This window comes from Homo sapiens, chromosome 1 (assembly GCF_000001405.40).
Source record: "Homo sapiens chromosome 1, GRCh38.p14 Primary Assembly".
Classification (NCBI taxonomy): Eukaryota; Metazoa; Chordata; class Mammalia; order Primates; family Hominidae; genus Homo; species Homo sapiens.
Genome location: NC_000001.11, coordinates 170,805,080 through 170,826,199, shown reverse-complemented (window position 1 = coordinate 170,826,199; position 21,120 = coordinate 170,805,080). Strand labels below are relative to the sequence as shown.

General features: G+C 39.5%; 1 long non-coding RNA gene across 1 annotated transcript; it reads left to right on the top strand.

Moving 5' to 3' along the window:
* Positions 1 to 106: 106 nt before the first annotated feature.
* Positions 107 to 20,301, top strand: LOC124904454 (uncharacterized). Its single transcript, XR_007066729.1, has 2 exons — positions 107 to 532; positions 18,596 to 20,301. It is a non-coding gene; the product is annotated as an uncharacterized LOC124904454 (long non-coding RNA).
* The last annotated feature ends 819 nt before the right edge of the window (positions 20,302 to 21,120 follow it).

Genomic DNA, 21,120 nt, shown 5'->3' with positions numbered 1-21,120 from the left:
TACTGCGAAATGACCATGGACACAAAGCACAAAGTCAATATTACAGTGTAAGTGTAAGAGAGGATAAGTTAAAAAAAAAAAAAAAAAAACTGTGGTATTGTAAAGTGAGAACCAGATTGGAAATCAGAATTGGAAGCAGCCCAAGTTCTGCCTCTTGCTGGTGTTATGGCTTTGGGCACACATAAATTTCCTTAACTTCAGTTAATTAGTCTGTAAAAATAAATAACGTTGCTTACCTTGAAGGGTGTTTCTGAGGGCCAAATGAGGTAATGCAGTCATTTATTCAAGTATTATTTAATAAGTGCTTACTATGTATTATGACACAATCTTTGCCCTAAAGAATCACAACTTAAAGGGCCAATGCAAGAAGAAAAGTGGCAATGACAACACTTTGTTCAAACAGGGCTGAGCATTTTGGGCTGTGGGAAAACAGAAGAGAGGCTCCTCACTCAGTCATGATGTGTCCAGAAAGGAGTCCCAGAGAAAATAACATCTGATCTGAGAAAAGAGAGAAACAAGGAGCAGAAGTTAGGTAAGTGAAGGAGGGGCAATTCAGGCAGAGAAGGCGGCATAGAGAGAGACAAAGAGAAAGAGTAATTTAGGAACCTGTTAATAAGTGCAGTATAACTGCATTTGAGAAGATAGCATAAGTTTGGGGAAATCATTAAAGACAAGACCAGAGAAGTTCAGCACAGATCAAAGAGTGATAAGCATTTTTTTTTTTTTTTTGAGACAGGGTTTCACTCTGTCACCCAGGCTGGAGTGCCTTGGCTCAGGTGATCCTTCCACTTCAGCCTCCCAGGTAGCTGGAACTACAGGTGCACACCACCATGCCTGGCTAATTTTTTTTGTATTTATTGTAGAGTCAGAGCTTCACCATGTTGCCCAGGCTGGTCTTAAACACCTGGACTCAAACAATCTACCTGCCTCTGCTTCCCTAAGTGGTAGGATTGCAGACATGAGCCACCACACCCAGCTGTGATTAGCATTTTAAACCTCTTTAATTAGAGGGTTCGAAATTTATTCTATTTGTCATATAGAGTCATCTAAAAAGGATTTTTAAGCAGCAATTGCATGACCATTTTTTCTCTTTAGAAAGATGACTCTGACTTTCTGGCAGAGACTATTTGGTTGTTACACAATATGTATTTTCTCACACCTTCCTTAATAGTAGAAATAGTAATTTTTAGTTAAATCCACGGGCACTTGAAATAAGCCCCACATTTGCTAGCCTTTCATAGCTAAGCGTGGAAGTAGGACTAAATAAATGTCTGATGAGCTGTAAGCAGAATAAATATGGTTAACTTCTAGGAAGTTAACCCCTTCTTTGTCATTTTCCCTTCTTGCTAGTTGACACAATGGTTGTGATTGCCATTGTTCAATCAAATGCTTTGGAACACATAGAAAAATTCATATGCTAAAGATAGCAAAGTAGCAAGATAGAACAAACTTGGGTCCATGCCAAGGAACTCTACTTTTAACCCTGGACCCACCTAACTTCAGACTTCTTTTGCGTGAGAGAAAAATCAATTTATATCTTGTTTATTTTTATTTTATTTCTTAAATAGCCAGATCTTAATTGACATAGAATGCATTATGCAAAGTGAATTGAGTGGCAGCAAAATTGGACATCCCAGTTAGAAAAATGATGCAAGTGAAATAATACAAGTGAACAATGATAGTTACTTGAAGTAGGAAAGTGAGAGTTAGCATTCACAGAGGCTAGTGATTTATGGGAGGTGGGAGATAACAAAGAGTGTTGACACTATTGATATTTTAGGTTAGTAATTCTTTGTTGTAGGGGGATATCCCGTGCATGGTAGGATGTTTTGCAGCATCGCTGGCCTCTACCCACTAGATGCCATTACTACCACACGGTTACAGTCATAACCGTAAAAAATGACTCCAGACAATGCCAAATGTACCCTCAGGGATAAAATCACTCCTGGTTGAGAACCACTGATACATGAGAAATTTTAATATTTGTAAGTGAGACACTTGCATGGCGTCCCTCTGGCCTTAAGAATTGTTTCAGGAATTGGCACATAACACATAATTCACACCAAGAAAATGTGAAAGGAAATTTCTGAGACTTTGTGGGAAAAGTTTCTATGCTTCCAAAAAACCCATAAGAAGGGATGGCTTTCTGTCTTCTGAATACTGTTTGTGTGCCAAGGTGAAGTCAGGACCAACTGCAGCCATCTTGTGCCCAGTCGATTCATGTAGGAGAGCAGACCTGGAGCCACAGGATGGAATGATGTCTGATCAGTGTTCTACCCCTGGTATTCCAATTAAGTGAGCCAAAATTTCCTTCATAATTTAATCCAGTTTGGGTTGGGTTTTCTTGTACTTATAGCCAGACTTCTAACCTACCCAGTGACTTTGGCAGACTGTCATGACTTGAGGATTAAACGGGAGGTGAAGAGTAGGAGAGTAGGGTGAACATAGTTACAAATAACTCATTGTGTATTTCCAAAACAACTAAAAGAGAAGATTTGGAATGTTCCCAACACAAAGAAGTGATAAATATTTGAGGTAATGGATATCTCAACTACCCCGATTTGATCATTACAGTTTGTATGCATGCATCAAAATGCCATGTGTACCCTGTAAATATGTACAATTATTACGTATCCATTTTACAAAAGTTTAGCAGTGAAAGGATACATATAAGGCAGAAGATGGGGGTGGAGTTTGACAGAGGCTTATTTGTTTATTTAAATGTGTGGAGGACTTGAGTCTGTTTAAATGCTAATGGGAAGGGGTCAGTAAAAAAAGAAAAGGTTGTACATAGAGCAAGGATGAGAAAAAATTCAGTACTGCAAAGTCCCTGTGGGCGTTGTGGGGGAGGGACAAAAAGGATGAAACTCCAGGATAGGTGGAATGACTCATTGTGGGTCAACGGAAGAAAATGTCTCCCATGCTGACATCAGGGATGGAAAAGAAGATGCAGATAAATTTGTAGTGTAGATGCAAGATGTTAGAAAAGTTCTTTTTTTGATCATTTCAATTTTTCTATAGAGTAGCAGGGAAAGGGGAACAGGATGTAGATCAAATGCATGGAGAAATTCTCAGAAACTCTAAGGAGCTGTCCAGGTATAAAATGCTCTACTTAATTTACATATATGGGAGCTCTTAGTAGATGACTGGTATCACAACTGTTGGACAAAGTAAGTTCTTGTCATTCTTCACTCTGTAGAAGGTGCTCTAGAGACAGGTTAAAACAGAGATGCCTGAGATGAACATCAACATAAAATACAGATGCCTGTGCTTTACATACTGAGAGGTTGCAAAGGTCAAAGGGGGCTCCCAAAACTCAGGGCTGCTTCCTCTTGATGACCTATGTTGTCCATTCTAAGCCCTTCTGCTGAGACGGACTTCAGAGCTGGGGCACTCATTACAGCTATTGTTCATCAAACAAATGTGAGAAATGGCTGTTTAAAGTCCACTTCAACATGGCTTTCCTCTCAAACCTCTTGTCTGAACTTTAATAATAGAATGTTTGGAAATCGTTAAATAGTTGCCTTGATTTGTTTAATGCAATGGCCATAGACATTTCATCGAGCTGACATAGGATTTATGTCTCAATAACACAATGACATTTGGTGAGCACTGGTTTCAGAACGATTTATGTCTGATCTGCAATTGGAGAATGATTTACACTCAAGTGAGGGGCAGAGTTATGAGAGACTCTGCTAAGACACCCTGTATCCTGTTGCTTACCTGCTTGCTTTCCACTAGAGATGGAGGGGAGATGGCAATATTCACTCTCTGACATATTTCCTTTATGGTTTTTTCATTAGAAAAAAATAGAAGTCTGAACTTGCTAGCTTATCTCTGCAAAATGTTTCCAATTATTCTGGTTCCCATTAGTTCTTTCTGTAAACTCCAAATTGGTCTTGGACAGCACCAGGATGAAAGCAGTCACAGGAACTCCACGCCAGACAAAACTCTTCAGTTTTCCCATCACTAATCTGGCCTTATTGAAGGGACCATGGCAACGGCCAAATTTTGCACATCTACTTGTAGATCATCTCAGTGCCAAGGTCACTGGAAGTTTTTTTCAGGCCTCTACTGATACCCACAACAAATAAGCCAGTGGGTCCTCAGGATGCTAGGGAGGTCACAGTCAAAATGGGATGGCCTCTTGGAAACCAAGAGGCAGAAAAAGCCCCAGGGGTGGCTCAGAGCATGGCTGCGTACCTGAGACGGATCCTGGCTGCACTGTTATCTAGCTCTGCAACGCTGGCCTGTTGTCTCATCTGTTTGTGCCTCAATTACCTCATCTATAAATTGGGACAATAGTACCTAATTCAGGGAGTTGTTCTGAGAAGATGTGACTAAGAATATCCAAAATACCAATAGTGGGATAGTTAGAGAGAAAAAGGAAACAAGTAGAGCCAGGAAATGAACAATCATCTTGAAAAGGAAAAAGAGAATTGAACTCAAAGTTAGAATTCTGGTTTTACATTCCAACTCTGTTTTTCATTAGCTATAGAAATGATAACTGGTATACCATGCAATTGTTTTAAGTACATGAAAGATCATTTGCAAAAACACCTAATAATTCACAGATATTGACTATATATGCATTCTCTTCCTTCTTTCCATGCAAGCAAGAAAGTGGATGAGTTTATATCTTGATTACCAAAGTGTTAGGTCATAAGGACGATGTCTGTTTTGTAGGGTAAGGCTGTCCTTGAAGAAATTTGTGAAGCAACCATAGGTTTCCTCTAGCATCTTCCCACTTGTCCTCCTGGATCTTTTTCTCCAGTCAGGAGCACCTACTTCCTGACTCCACACAGATTTTCCTTTTCAAATTGTTGTCATAGGTAAAAAAGCAATACTTAGTTCTTGACAAATAATGGTAAAAAAAAAATTGTAAAAACCAAGGGTATTGTAATTTTAATACAAAAACTCCAAGAGGCAAAGAAAAACTGTAGAGACTCACAGGGCACTATAACAATAAGAATGACATTTTTCAAAGACTTTTTTTTGGATGCAAGCCTTTTCAAGCCTTTCCATCTTTTCCACAATATAATGTAGTCAAATAGCCTGAGGTTTCTATGTTTTCCACATCCTTCTCTTTTTGCCCAAGCCAGTTCTCACCAACCTGCTCTTTCTTTTTCTTTTCTTTTTTTTTTTTTTTTTTTTTTTTTTTTTGCGACAGAGTCTCACTCTGTTGCCTAGGCTGGAGTGCAGTGGCATGATCACGGTTCAATGCAAACTTGATCTCACCTCAACTTCCCAAATAGCTGGGACTACAGCCACACACCACTGCATTCGACTAATTCTGTGTATCAGGATCTTTTCATGTTCCCTAGGCTAGTCTCAAACTCCAGGCCTCAAGCAATCCTCCTGCCTCGGCCTCCCAAAGTGTTGGGATTATAGGTGTGAGCCACTGCTCTTTTCTTGTGTGGTCCTATCAGCCCTAGTCTTTTTGTAATCGGTTCTGTCCTTCAGTATATCCATCACTAAGTCATTCTAAGAGCTCTCACCCTGGACTGGAAGGATGATGACTTCATGTTGTCATATTTTTTTTTCTTCTTTTTTCTCTGCTACACATTTGTTACCATTAAAATAAATGCCCAGAACAGTTCAAATTTCTCACAATGCAAAGCACTGGGATTCTTGGTGCTTTCTATTACTAGCTTAAGAAAAATCTGCACAAGCTATTGAACTTGAATTTTATTCATGTATTTGTTTTCTAAACAATAAGGAAATAGGAAGTAAAAACACAAATGGTTTTCAAAAAAATGCCTCAAAGTTGCCCATTCATTCTTTCTCAAACTATTTTATTTCCTTTGGATCTGAGGAAAAGTAAATAAATTATAACTGATTTAGTTTAAGAAAAAATTTTGAAGGTGAGAAAAATAGATTAGTAAGTAGATCCAGAGTTGCACTATTTCTGCAGTTTGATTCTGCAAGTAGTTATGTACCACATACGTGAATGTTGCTAGGTATTGTCCAGGACACAGCTTAGATATGGCCCCTGCTCTCTGAGACAGCACACCCTCTGCATATATGATATTTGAGTTTACCAGACTATATTCAAATTACCTCTCTAGATTGTCCATCTGTCTCCACTAGTCAGTGAGATACTCCAGGGCAGGAGTGTGACTTAGTTATCTTTGTGATTCAGATGTCTTATCCTCTGTTGACCCCTCAAATCAATTTTGATGCAGATTTCAATACTACTTAATATCTTCCAGGAAAAAAAGAAAAAAGCACCAAAAGCATTCTTAAACAATAGAGATTTTGGTGAAGCTTTTGTAAGATTATGTTGGGGGTTTAAAATCATAATCCCCGCAACAACCTCTTAAAGCTTTTTATCAGACATGAGTTTTCTCCCGATTCCTCTTGTCTCCTCAGAGAGTCAATGCAGTAGTTATGCCTCTTGTCTCTTGTCTCCTCAGAGAGTCAATGTAGCAGGCAAAGTAAATGAGGCCTCAAATCCAGTCCTTGCCACCCTTTCCAGGCAAACAGTCCAAGTGTGGGCGGTAGCCACCCAGAAGCACCAACTTCTTTTTCCCTGCACGTAGGCACTGTCCACTTTGCAAACCATGCGCCTCTAGGAGCTACTTCTCACCTGAACAAGAACTTTCTTTTTCTACTTCCTATGAAGCTCTGATGAGTTAGAGGCCCTAATTCTTCTCCACCCTCTGAAATTGCATTTGTCCTTTTTTTGGTGTTCAGTCCCTTTCTTGCCCTCACACCCACCCCCTCTGCTACCCTGCAGCCAGTCCACAGTGAGATTACCAGCGAGAATGAATTTTTACTTTTTTGTATTTGATTCTCTGGAGTCCTGACAACACCAGGCACATAGTAGGCTCTCAGTGCACGTATGTTAAACTGAACTTCATTTAGAATAAAACTTTTAAAAGTAAGAAACAAGTATAAAACATTACTAGACCAATGCCAAAAGAACACTAGAGATAACAAATGCAAAGTAGTCTTATAATAGAAAGTGGTATCACTTTTAAGTCAGTAGGAAATAATGTGTCTGGGCCAAATTTGCTGCGGTTATCAACATAATTCTTACTAACATCCAGTTTTATCATGTGAACAATTTATCTTTTTTAATAGAAAAATCTGTAAAAATAATCTCTTCTTAACTGCCAGTAAAATTTAATTCAGAGCAATAGAAAATGGAGAAAGTTTGTTCGCCATTAATGAAATGTTTGAATTATAAAATGTCTTCAGACAAATACAGTTTCGTTACGTCCAATTACTGGGAAAACAATCTAATTAGAAAAACAAAGTTTTGCCAAATGGAGGAACTTTAGTAATCTGTTTCAGTGAGTACATAAAAGTTAATGATTAAAATATGAATTACTGTATCACAATAGATCTTTCCAGAATTAGGAAATGTTCTCTCTCATAAGTGAAATATCTCTCTTTCTTTCTATTTTTATTAAAAGTCATAATCATTCAGTAAATTACTTGTAAATAATTTAAGAGTAAATTTCATTTTCGCTTCTGTGAAAATGATCATTTTTATAAATATTGAGACCTCAGCGTTGATTTTACTTTTTTGTTTCAGTGCTGCTGGGTATGTAGGATTACTATTCCTTCTGTTACAACTGCTTGCTCATTGTCCCCACTTTCCAAAAGCCTCACACACATAGACACTATTTTCCCTTCCAAGAAATCCTCAGGGAAGAGAATATAGAAGTACCACTATTGGATGTGGTCAAGGCTCATAAATAAAAGAGTTAAATTTCAGTTACCTGGAAATACTTACATTCTGCCAAGGCTGCAATCATTCTCTCACTTATAAATTCTAAGTTTAAATTAAATCAAATCCCAGTCTTTCTTGGTTCCAACTCTTCCCTTTTGGCAAGGCTTGTATTCTTGGTTCAAAGAAAGAAAAGCTTTCTTTTTTTTTTTTAAGGGGCTAAAGTCTTCTTGGACATTGAATGGTTTTTACAAATTACCATTTTGTTGTTTAAAAGAATAAAAAACAGCTGGGTTACATTCTCTTTGAAATGCACACTTAGTTAAAAATTAAACACACAAAAAAATTAAAAGCACTAGAGAAAAACACTTTTTGGTTTTGCCAAGACCCAAACCATTTAGGAGGAAGATGGGATAAGAGAGAGGAAAAAAGAATAGTCTGAACTGTGTTGCCAAACCCATTCCCCCTCCTGTGGCAGTGAAGTTCAGTAAGCCCAAAATAAAATGGTGCAAGACACAAAATTAGATTGAATGGGTTCTGGAAACAGTTATGGGTCTGGTAAGAGTGAAGGGATTTAATGAATATTTCTCATCTCTGTTCTCTTCTATCCCAAGAATAGTTGCAGTCATTTTTTTCTTACCAGTTTCTGAATTTTGCCAAACTCTATATGATAGAAGTTTCCTAAATAGAGGAATTGAATTTAAGTAGAAAACTACATTCTAGTCGCTTAAGTTCGTGGAAACATGTTTGTACTACAAATAGTATATAAATAATAAAAGTGATTCCAGGGAATGAAAAGTTACTAGCTCCTGCCAAATTGCTTTCATCACTCAACAGAAAGACAAAAAGTCAACCTTGCCCTAAAATTGTAGGTAAAATGGGCCCATATGTGGTGATGTTGACTTAAATTCAATTTAACAAACACTGTTCAGCACCTACCATGTTCAAATCACAGAACTAGGTGCTATAAGTTGATTAAAAATATGAGCAAGGAGCTAAAAAATGGATAGAGGAAAGAGAAGGGAAGGGAAAAACTAAAAAACAAAGTACAGAATAGAACCAGAAAACAAAAATCTTCTATTTTTCAACATAAAATTGTTTTATTCAATTCAAAAGTTCTCAAGATGCAAAACTTTATGAAATTATCCTTTTTCTGAAGTAGTTTTCAGTTTGGGGTATAGAAATATGTATCAAAAACTTGCATTAAAAGTATCATATAATTATTCAATTATTCCAGAAACAAAGTGTCTCAAAATGACTGAATTTGGAGTGATTAATTGTACTTTATTTGAAAGTCTCCCTTTAGAATTTCCAGAACCAAGTTAAACGACAAGAAAAATATTTTTACGGTTTCATACATTTGTTAGACAGGATTCTAACAGCCTCATGCCAGTGTTGGCAAAATTGAAAAAAGCTAATCTGTACTTGCAATTTTTCACATTTTCAGATTTCTTTTTACCCCCAACACAAACTCAACAGACTCAACTTTTTAATGACACTTTCATGCTGCCTGTATTTTTCCACTGAAAGATAATCTGATATGTTAATTAACACTAAAATGACACTATTTTACATTTTCCTGTCTTTCTATTTTTTTTTATTGTGCACATATTTCTACTTTTTTTTATTGTGCACATGTGCACAATGTGCAGGTTTGTTACATAGGTATACATGTGCCATGTTGGTTTGTTGCACCCATCAACTATCATTTACATTAGGTATTTCTCCAAATGCTATCCCTCCCCTAGCCCCCAACCCCCCAACAGGCCCCAGTGTGTGATGTTCCCTGCCCTGTGTCCAAGTGTTCTCATTGTTCACTTCCCACCTATGAGTGAGAACATGCAGTGTTTGGTTTTCTATCCTTGTGATAGTTTGCTGAGAATGATGGTTTCCAGCTTCATCCATGTCCCTGCAAAGGACCTGAACTCATCCTTTTCTATGGCTGCATAGTATTCCATGGTGTATATGTGCTACATTTTCTTAATCCAGTCTATCATTGATGGACATTTGAGTTGGTTCCAAGTCTTTGCTATTGTGAAAAGTGCCACAATAAACATATGTGTGCCTGTGTGTTTATGGTAGCATGATTTATGATCCTTTGGGTATATACCCAGTAATAAGATTGCTGGGTCAAATGGAATTTCTGGTTCTAGATCCTTGAGGAATCGCCACACTGTCTTCCACAATGCTTGAAATAATTTACACTCCCACCAACAGTGTAAAAGCATTCATATTTCTCCACATCCTCTCCAGCATCTATTGTTTCCTGACTTTTTAACCATCGCCATTCTAACTGGCATGAGATGGTATCTCACTGTGGTTTTGATTTGCATTTCTCTGATGGCCAGTGATGATGAGCATTTTTTCATGTGTCCGTTGGCTGCATAAATGTCTTCTCTTGAGAAGTGTCTGTTTGTATCCTTTGTCCATTTTTTGATGGGGTTGTTTGTTTATTTCTTGTAAATTTGTTTGAGTTCTTTGTAGACTCTGGATATTAGCCCTTTGTCAGATGGGTAGATTGCAAAAATTTTCTCCCATTCTGCAGGTTGCCTGTTCACTCTGATGGTAGTTTCTTTTGCTGTGCAGAAGCTCTTTAGTTAAATTAGATCCCATTTGTCTATTTTGGCTTTTGTTGCCATTGCTTTTGGTGTTTTAGTCATGAAGTCTTTGCCCATGTCTATGTCCTGAATGGTATTGCCTAGGTTTTCTTCTAGAGTTTTTATGGATTTAGGTCTAATATTTAAGTCTTTAATCCATCTTGAATTAATTTTTGTATAAGGAGTAAGGAAGGGATCTAGTTCCAGCTTTCTACATATGGCTAGCCAGTTTTTCTCAGCACCATTTATTAAATAGGGAATCCTTTCCCCATTTCTTGTTTTTGTCAAATTTTTCAAAGATCAGATGGTTGTAGATGTGTGCTGTTATTTCTGAGGCCTGTATTCTGTTCCATTGATCTATATATCTGTTTTGGTACCAGTACCATGCTGTTTTGGTTACTGTAGCCTTGTAGTATAGTTTGAAGTCAGGTAGCGTGATGCCTCCAGCTTTGTTCTTTTTACTTAGGATTGTCTTGGCTATGTGGGCTCTTTTTTGGTTCCATATGGACCTCAAAGTAGTTTTTTCCAATTCTGTGAAGAAAGTCACTGGTAGTTTGATGGGGATGGCATTGAATCTATAAATTACCTTGGGCTGTATGGCCATTTTCATGATATTTATTCTTCCTATCCATGAGCATGGAATGTTCTTCCATTTGTTTTTGTCCTCTTTTATTTCATTGAGCAGTGGTTTGTAGTTCTCCTTGAAGAGGTCCTTCACATCCCTTGTAAGTTGGATTCCCAGGTATTTTATTCTCTTTGTAGCAATTGTGAATGGGAGTTCACTCATGATTTGGCTCCCTCTTTGTCTGTTATTGGTGTATAGGAATGCTTGTGATTTTTGCACATTGATTTTGTATCCTAAGACTTTGCTGAAGTTGCTTATCAGCTTAAGGAGATTTTGGGGTGAGACGATGGGGTTTTCTACAGATAAAATCATGTCATCTGCAAACAGGGACATTTTGACTTCCTCTTTTCCTAATTAAATACCCTTTATTTCTTTCTCTTGCCTGATTGCCCTGGCCAACACTATGCCCTTCCAACACTATGTCGAATAGGAGTGGTGAGAGAGGGCATCCTCGTCTTGTGCCGGTTTTCAAAGGGAATGCTTCCAGTTTCTGCCCATTCAGTATGCTATTGGCTGTGGGTTTGTCATAAATAGCTCTTATTATTTTGAGATACGTTCCATCAATACCTAGTTTATTGAGAGTTTTTAGCATGAAGGACTGTTGAATTTTGTCAAAGACCTTTTCTGTATCTATTGAGATAATCATGTGGTTTTTGTCATTGGTTCTGTTTATGTGATGGATTACGTTTATTGATTTGCATATGTTGAACCAGCCTTGCATCCCAGGGATGAAGCCCACTTGATCGTGGTGGATAAGCTTTTTGATGTGCTGCTGGATTCGGTTTTCCAGTATTTTATTGAGGATTTTTGTATCGATGTTCATCAGGGATATTGGTCTAAAATTCTGTTTTTTTATTGTGTCTCTGCCAGGCTTTGCTGTCATGATGATGCTGGCCTCATAAAATGAGTTAGGGAGAAGTTCCTCTTTTTCTATTGATTGGAATAGTTTCAGAAGGAATGGTACCATCTCTTCTTTATACCTCTTGTAGAATTTGACTGTGAATCTGTCTGGTTCCCGATTTTTTTTTTTTTTTTGGTTGGTAGGCTATTAATTATTTCCTCAATTTCAGAGCCTGTTATTGGTCTATTCAGAGATTCAACTTCTTACTGGTTTAGTCTTGGGAGGGTCAATGTGTCCAGGAATTTATCCATTTCTTCTAGATTTTCTAGTTTATTTGCATAGAGGTGTTTATAGTATTCTCTGATGGTAGTTTGTATTTCTGTGGGATTAGTGGTGATATCCCCTGTATCATTTTTTTATTGTGTATATTTAATTCTTCTCTCTTTTCTTCTTTATTAGGCTTGCTAGCAGTCTATCAATTTTGCTGATCTTTTCAAAAAACCAGCTCCTGGATTCATTGATTTTTTGAAGGGTTTTTTATGTCTCTATCTCCATCAATTCTGCTCTGATCTTAGTTATTTCTTGCCTTCCACTAGCTTTTTACTTTGTTTGCTCTTGTTTCTCTAGTTCTTTTAATTGTGATGTTAGGGTGTCAATTTTAGATCTTTTCTGCTTTCCCTTATGGGCATTTAGTTCTATAAATTTCCCTCTACACACTGCTTTAAATGTGTCCCAGAGATTCTGGTATGTTGTGTCTTTGTTCTCATTGGTTTCAAAGAACACCTTTATTCCTGCTTTCATTTCATTATTTAACCGAGTAGTCATTCAGGAGCATGTTGTTCACTTTCCACGTAATTGTGCAGTTTTGAGTGAGTTTCTTAGTCCTGAGTTCTAATTTGATTACACTGTGGTCTGACAGACAGTTTGTCGTGATTTCCATTCTTTTACATTTGCTGAGGAGTGCTTTACTTCTGATTATGTGGTCAATTTTAGAATAAGTGCAATGTGGTGCTGAGAAGAATGTATATTCTGTTGATTTGGGGTGGAGAGTTCTGTAGATGTCTTTTAGGTCCACTTGGTGCAGAGCTGTGTTCAAGTTCTAGATATCCTTGTTAACCTTCTGTGTCGTTCATCTGTCTAATATTGACAGTAGGGTGTTAAAGTCTCCCATTATTGTTGTGTGGGAGTCTAAGTCTCTTTTTAGGTCTCTCAGGACTTGCTTTATGAATTTGGGTGCTCCCGTATTGGGTGCATATATATTTAGGGTAGTTCTCCTTCATGAATTGATCCCTTTACCATTATGTAATGGCCTTCTTTGTCTCTTTTGATCTTTGTTGGTTTAAAGTCTGTTTTATCAGTGACTAGGACTGCATCCCCACCCCCTTTTTTTTTCTTTCCATTTGCTTGGTAGATCTTCCTCCATCCCTTTATTTTGAGCCTATGTGTGTCTCTGCACATGAGATGGGTTTCCTGAATACAGCACACTGAAGGGTCTTGACTCTTTATCCAATTTCCCAGTCTGTGTCTTTTAATTGGAGCATTTAGCCTACTTACCTTTAAGGTTAATATTGTTATGTGTGAATTTGATCCTGTCATTATGATGTTAGCTGGTTATTTTGCTTGTTAATTGATGCAGTTTCTTCCTAGCATCTATGATCTTTACAATTTGGCATGCTTCTGCATTGGCTGGTACTGGTTGTTTCTTTCTATGTTTAGTGCTTCCTTCAGGAGCTCTTGTAAGGCAGGCCTGGTGGTGACAAAATCTCTCAGCATTTGTTTGTCTGTAAAGGATTTTATTTCTCCTTCACTTATGAAGCTTAGTTTGGCTGGATATGAAATTCTGGGTTGAAAATTCTTCTCTTTAAGAATGTTGAATATGGGCCCCCACTCTCTTCTGGCTTGTAGAGTTTCTGCCGAGCAATCTGCTGTTAGTCTGATGGGCTTCCCTTTGTGGGTAACCCAACCTTTCTCTCTGGCTGCCCTTAATGTTTTTTCCTTCATTTCAATCTTGGTGAATCTGACTATTATGTGTCTTGGGGTTGCTCTTCTCGAGGAGTATCTTTGTGGTGTTCTCTGTATTTGCTGAATTTGAATACTGGCCTGCCTTGCTAGGTTGGGGAAGTTTTCCTGGATAATATCCTGAAGAGTGATTTCCAACTTGGTTCCATGCTCCCCGTCACTTTCAGGTGCACCAATCAAATGTAGATTTGGTGTTTTCACATAGTCTCATATTTCTTGGATGCTTTGTTTGTTCTTTTTACTTTTTTTCTCTAATCTTGTCTTATCACTTTATTTCATTAATTTGATCTTCAATCACTGATACCCTTTCTTCCACTTGATGTAATCAGCTATTGAAGCTTGTGCATGCCTCACGACGTTCTCACGCCATGGTTTTCAGCTCCATCAGGTCATTTAAGGTCTTCTCTACACTGTTTATTCTAGTTTGCCATTTGTCTAACCTTTTTTCAAGGTTTTTAGCTTCCTTGTGATGGGTTAGAACATGCTCCTTTAGCTCAGAGAAGTTTGTTATTACTGACCTTCTAAAGCCTACTTCTGTCAACTTGTCAAAGTCATTCTCCATCCAGCTTTGTTCCGTTGCTGGCAAGGAGCTGCGATCCTTTGAAGGAGAAGAGGCACTCTGTTTTTTAGAATTTTCAGCTTTTCTGCTCTGGTTTATCTACTTTTGGTCTTTGATGTTGGTGACCTACAGATGGGGTTTTGGTGTAGATGTCCTTTTTCTTGATGTTGATGCTATTCCTTTCTGCTTGTTAGTTTTCCTTCTAACAGTCAGGTCCCTCAGCTGCAGGTCTGTTAGAGTTTGCTGGAGGTCCACTCCGGACACTGTTTGCCTGGGTATCACCAGCAGAGGCTGCAGAACAGCAAATATTGCAGAACAGCAAATATTGCTGCCTGATCCTTCCTCTGGTATCTTTGTCCCAGAGGGGCACCGCCCTGTATGAGGTGTCTGTTGGCCCCTACTGGGAGGTATCTCCCAGTTAGGCTACATGGGGGTCAGGGACCCAGTTGAGGAGGCAGTCTGTCTGTTCTCAGAGCTCAAATGCCATACTGGGGAACCAGTGCTCTCTTCAGAGCTGTCAGACAGGGACGTTTAAGTCTGCAGAAGTTGTCTGCTGGCTTTTGTTCAGCTATGCCCTGCCCACAGAGGTGCAGTCTGTAGAGGCAGTAGGCCTTGCTGAGCTGCGGTGGGCTCCACCCACCCAGTTCATGATTTCCGGCCTCTTTGTTTACACTGTGAGCTACTCAAGCCTTAGCAATGGTGGACACCCCTCCCCCTGCCAGGCTGCAGCCTTGCAGTTCAATCTCAGACTGCTGTGCTAGCAGTGAGTAAGGCTCCGTGGGCATGGGACCCGCCGAGCCAGGCACGGAAGAGAATCTCCTGGTCTACCAGTTGTTAAGACCTTGGGAAAAGTGCAGTATTTGGGTGGGAGTGTCCCGTTTTTCCAGGTACAGTCTGTCATGGCTTCCTTTGGCTAGGAAAGGGAAATCTCCCGACCCCTTGTGCTTCCCAGGTGAGGCGATGCCCCGCCCTGCTTTGGCTCACCCTCCATGGGCTGCACCCACTGTCCAACCAGTCCCAATGAGATGAACCAGGTACCTCAGTTGGAAATGCAGAAATCACCCATCTTCTGCATGGATCATGCTGGGAGCTGCAGACGAGAGCTATTCCTATTCAGCCATCTTAGAACGGACATCCTGTCTTTCTACTTTTTAAGAAGATACTTGAGAGATGGCTTAAATAACCCAGAAAGATTGTTTTCTCTTAGGATTTGTAAGTAGTCCAGTATGGTAGGAGCTATCAGAAGGCCCAGGGTGGCAGTGAACAGATGATGACTTGACAGCAGCAGAGCTGAGAGGTGGCTCATCATGGCTAAACATTATTGTGGTTTTCAGTCAATTTTCAGGCACATGGTTGGCACTGGGAACCAACATGATGGAGCAGGAGTCTGGCAGATGAATAGGACCCAGGAGCAAGGAATCCTGGCCCCAGATGATACTCTGATCCTAGAAAGCCAGACTGACTTGCAGTCAATATTCAGCCCTAGCCACTGGGTTGGGTTAGGGGGAGGAACCCCACTGACTGGAGAAGGAAAAGGCAGAAGCTGAAGAAAAGACCTGGAAAAACTACAGAACTTCTCAGAAGGGGGCCCAGAATGAAACCTCCAGTGTAGACTGGGACAGTGATAAATCTCCTGGTGATTATAAGGGCTAGGAGGGTATGATGAAGAGTGAGGTGCTATTATAGACTCAGGATCAAAAACAAGAACCTCAGGCTCCCAAAGCCGCAACTTCTCTAGGAATTAACTGCAGGAAGTAGCTGGGAACCCAGAACAAATGGTGAGTACTCCTTTGGCCAACCCTGGAACTGACTGAGTCAAGTTAATTCAAGAATAGAACCTGCAGCCATGGAAAGGCACAGAAGGCAAGGCTGGAAAGAAGCCTCAGGAGCAGGCAGAAATGGATCCCTTTACTAGTAGGAGAAATATACCAAGGGTGAAGGAAGGGACTTCCTTTGGTGGTCAAAGGATGCTTCTATTTCTCCTTCTGAGTAGACATTTAGCTTTGGGATAATGCTGATTTTGGAGTCTGATACAGTACTTCCTTTCGTCCTTTCAGCAGAAGACCCTGGGCAATGGATTATCTGAGCTTCAACTTTAAAAACTTAATAGAATAGGATTTACATACTTCCTAACAAGGGCATTGCAAATATTATAAAGTGTGAGATCTCCAAAAAATTCCAGTAGGATAAACATTTCATTTTTGCAAAAGCTGATGAAATTTGATAACAGGGTCATAGGAAATAAGAAATTCCTGGGTAAACTTAGGATAATAAAACATCCATTAGTGGCCATGCCTGTCATTCCATTATTACCTTCTTAAAACCCCAGAAGCACTGGGAATGGTCTCTTTGAGACTGGGCTGGACAGGATGATCCCATACATGAAGAAACTGCTAACATGGTGGTAGTGGGTGGCTCTCCACATAATCTCACCTTGCCTTGCCCAGCTCAGGCGTTGTCTTGCTAAGGACCCCATTATACTCTGCCCACCCTCTCAGGCTGATGTCTGCCCCACATCCAGCCCCCGCTTTTTGTCTTTCCTTCCTGCGTGGCCCTTCTAGAAATGGCCTGCCTCCCAGACTCCCTGCCCCCTGGCCCAGCACCATCCCAGCCACCACATTGACCTCATCCCAGAGATTCCTTAAGTCCAGGATCTTCCTTTGTTCTTTGACAGTACCTAATAGTACTTGGCACTATTTAAAGGTATTTTAAATATTTAAAATATTAAAAAGATACTTAAAACCCTTATTATATTCAACGCAATTCTGGTTTCAGTCTTCTTTTTCCTAGGAGTGAATACTAGTAGGATTTCACAAATTATCCTGTCTTTAATATATTGAAAAAGTTTCTGAGATATACCTAGGGTCAGAAGTCTGAGAGCCATGGGGAGCAAGGCAAAAACCAATTATGCTACCTCTGTTGTGTGGGCAAGTCAGTGAGATTAATAAAGCCTCCCATGCTGTATTCCGTGGGTTGTTATAAGGATCAGACTGAAATAAGAAAAACAAATGAACAAAATTATTTTGCAAGCTTTATTAAATTATAACATAAACCTAAATATCATCTAGAAATGTGTTTCTGTGGAACATCTGTTTTGCAAGGGGCTGGATAAGTGAGATATCACTGTGTTTGAGTCTGTTTTTTAAATAGTTTGGGACTTATAAGAAAACCCTCTGAGCTTCTCTAGCAAGGCTGAGCCTGGCCACAAGCCACTCCTGCTGCAAACTGGAATACTAAAACCCTCTTGATGGCAAATATTGTTTTATAACCCAAACCTCAGCCAGTCTTCTGCATGACAGTTCATCGTTGTTGCTACTGCTGGTTAACTTACAGGTTTTCAAAAAGGAACTGTTTCCTATTTTTCATATCAAGACATTTGGGAACCCCTCCTCCCTGTCTCTCCTCTGAGTCTTCACCTCCCCTGCCTACCCTGTGCAGCTCCCCCACAAACAGGAATGTGTCACTATAAGCATCCAATAAAGAAAGCAACATGTGCCCTTCAGAAACAGGTTTATCAACTTGAAACAGTACAATTCAGAGCAGAAAAGCTTCCTTTTCAAGTGTAAAGTAAACGCGTGCCTATTTTTCCAAGAACCAGATGGTGCCATGGTTCTTCCAGGACCAATTTCCTCAAAATATTATATTTTGTGCTTTGATAGGTTGGTGCTTGTCCCCAGTAGAAACTGTTAATAGCCATGGGATACTCCTCCTATCCCTTAACATACTCATGAGTAAGAAGTTGCTGAAATCAAACTATTTCTATCTTTGTTTTATTCATGGCCCCCCAAAAATACACTCCAACTTTCCCCACATCTCAAAATAAGATGATTAATGCAGGGTTTGCAAAGAAGGTAGCTAATTACAGGCTTTGAGGCTTTGGCTTGGCATCCACTTGAGAGCACAAAATATTTGAAGTTAATATGCCTGGGAAATATAAAATTTTAAAATATTTTTGTAAAGAGCTATTAATATCCTGTGCATTTCATTCCCATCCCCCTTTCAACCATCATCCTAGGGACAGAGGCATTTTGGAGAGTTTGATATGTGGCCCTTGGAGCCCAGGATATCTAGTGGACTGGCATTTGGCTCATACCTGAGAGATCTATAAGGCAAGAGACTGAGATGGACTAGCTGTTCATCTAGAAGAACAAAGACAATATTATTGTGGGCAACCTACCCTTCCAGAGAAGGGCGCCTCATTCCTGTGAGTCACCAGAGAGAGAGATGCCATTTCATAATAGTCCATGTTAAGCAAAACCATTTTTTCCTCCTTTAGGGGTACTAACTGGAAGAAAGGAATGCGAATGATTACCAATCCTGCTGCAAGTGCTTAAAGAAGATGGAATCAGAGTGTGGGAACCAGGCTGAACTACATGACTGACAGTAGATGACCGCCACTGCCACGGGATCCACAGGGTCCACAAAGGTGCTTTTCATTGGGCTGCTATATTTAATCATTCTAGGGTGACATATTGCTTTGAGAATTTAATCAAAGCTTCAAGTTTTCTTCTTGCACATTTTAAAGGAGAGTTCAGGGTTTTTCCAGACCTCTTGAAGGCTGTCCTTGGATCACTGTTCTCTCTCTCAGACCACCCCTCCCACCAGCTGAAGAACTCCTGTTTTAACCTAGCTTGTCCCATGTAACCAACATGATGTAACAACAGGTTTCTGGCCCTCTCTGTATTGTTCACAGCCTCCCCTGAATCACTGGTCCTGGAACTCTCGTCTCATGCTTCTGCTTTCCAACCTGGGCCCCTTCTTCCTGGCGTCTAACCTGAAATCTTATTTCTTCATATTTATGTTGTCTCCCTTTTAGATTTGATCTACTGCTTTGTTCTCTGCCTGATCATAATTCTTACAGTTCCGTGGTTAAACTCTAGTAATCCTTCCATAATATCCAATCTAGCCTCTGGGAACTCCCTACTTCCCATCCAACATCCAGGCATCCTTGTCCAGAGAACACTCCTTTGAAAACTTTTTCTAAATTTTGCTTAGTTTAAGGATTGAATCCACATTAACATTTTTTAAAACACCTGTGGGAGAAGTAACAATTAACCTATTGTCTTTCATTTGGATTCCCGTGTTAATAAGTTTTAGGTCTTTGCTTCAGAGAAGATTTTGTTGAGGAGAGTTTGAGAATTAAATAGAATGAAAAGAAGAAACTCTGCTACCAAAGGAAAGGGGGCTTTGAAAGCTGGAGTGTAAAATTATTAATTTTTCCTATCCCTCGTTCTGCTTCGGTCCCACACTAAGCTGAAGTGTTGAAAACAGTACAGAAAAAGTTTTTCTGACAGAAAAACATTTGAGTTATTGCTGAGAGTGCCTTGAGATGGTGTGGCATGCTGCCAGGCCTTTGGCATTGACTGCCACTAGCTAAAAACTGTGTGTTTATAGTGTTGATGTGTGCCTGATGAGCGAGAGACCAGCCCGCTAGGCTCAACCCCTGAGCCTGGCCTCTCTTAAGACCGTAGAAAGAACATAGCACACTCCCAAGGCTACAGCTCTCCGTGGTTCAGTAATTGACTTAGGTCAGCATGCCAGTCAAACCAGACAGCCTGACTTTTCTTCCCCAACAGAAACTTGAATTTATAAAATGTATTCACATCTCATCATTTAGGGATTTATGCCTGCAAGTCCACTATCATTAAAGGGTTACATGCATACATTCTCCTTTCCATTGTAGGGATTACAAACGCCTAACGATAGTAAATTATTCTCTTCTGCGCTGTACACTACGATTACCCTGTGGAATTTTTTAGACTGTTTTGTAAGGCATTACAGCACTAATGAAGTGTTATTTATACTACACACTGATTTTCTGTTTTGTTTTTCTTGAAGTTTCTCCTTGTTCCATCTTTTTTGATTTATCATACATTTAGCAGACTTGAGTATGAAAGCTATTTTTCTGTCACTCTTCAAACTTTAAATGAACAAGACTTTTTATGAAGTGTAATTTTCAATAACAATGAAATATTAGAAGTCCCTCTTGGAGTTCCTCGTTCCATTCGTGTGTGTGTGTGTGTGTGTGTGTGTGTGTGTGTGTGCATGTGTGTGTGTGTGTTTTCTGTTCTGGTTTCCCACCAGTGCTGTCTGTGATTGCCTTAGCCTCTGATATATGGAAGCAAGGATCCAGTGGAAGGTCACAGACGTTTCCTCTTACTCAGAGAATACCAAGAAGTAAAAACATAGACGACTGCACAACAGGCTGTGCATACAACTAATGGATGAATGACTTAGCTTAATTCGGGGTGTTAAGAAGGTTAAAGGTGCAAAGAGGCATTAGACAAGTTTTCCAAAAGATGGGAGTTATTCTTCGATATTGGTCTGTTTTATACTTGCATCTAAGGTGGATAACTTCCAGCCATTCTCCCCTAAGGGGAGAAGTTATCCACCTTAGATGCAAGTATAAAACAAACCAGTATCTCTAGAGAGCATGTACCTTCTAATCATCAATTTGAATTCAAATCGTCACTGCCATTTTCAAGTGTGATTTGAAAGACTTAAAAGAGCTTCTAGAAAATGGGTATAATAAAAGTACCATGTGAAGAGCATATTGTGAAGTATGTAAAAGGAGCTAACATTAATTCATGGAAGTGCTCAATACATTTTCCCTTTCTCTTCTCCCCTCTTGTCTGTACTCCTCTCTTCTCCCAACCTCCATTTCCATCAGCCATATTAAAACTAAATTAATCCCTAGAACAAGAAGTTTGTTGTAGTGCTTGTGGCAGACAATTTTTTTTTTCTTTTTGCCATACCAACAGCATCACCAGCCCTCTCCCAGTGTACCTTCTTTTTTTGCTG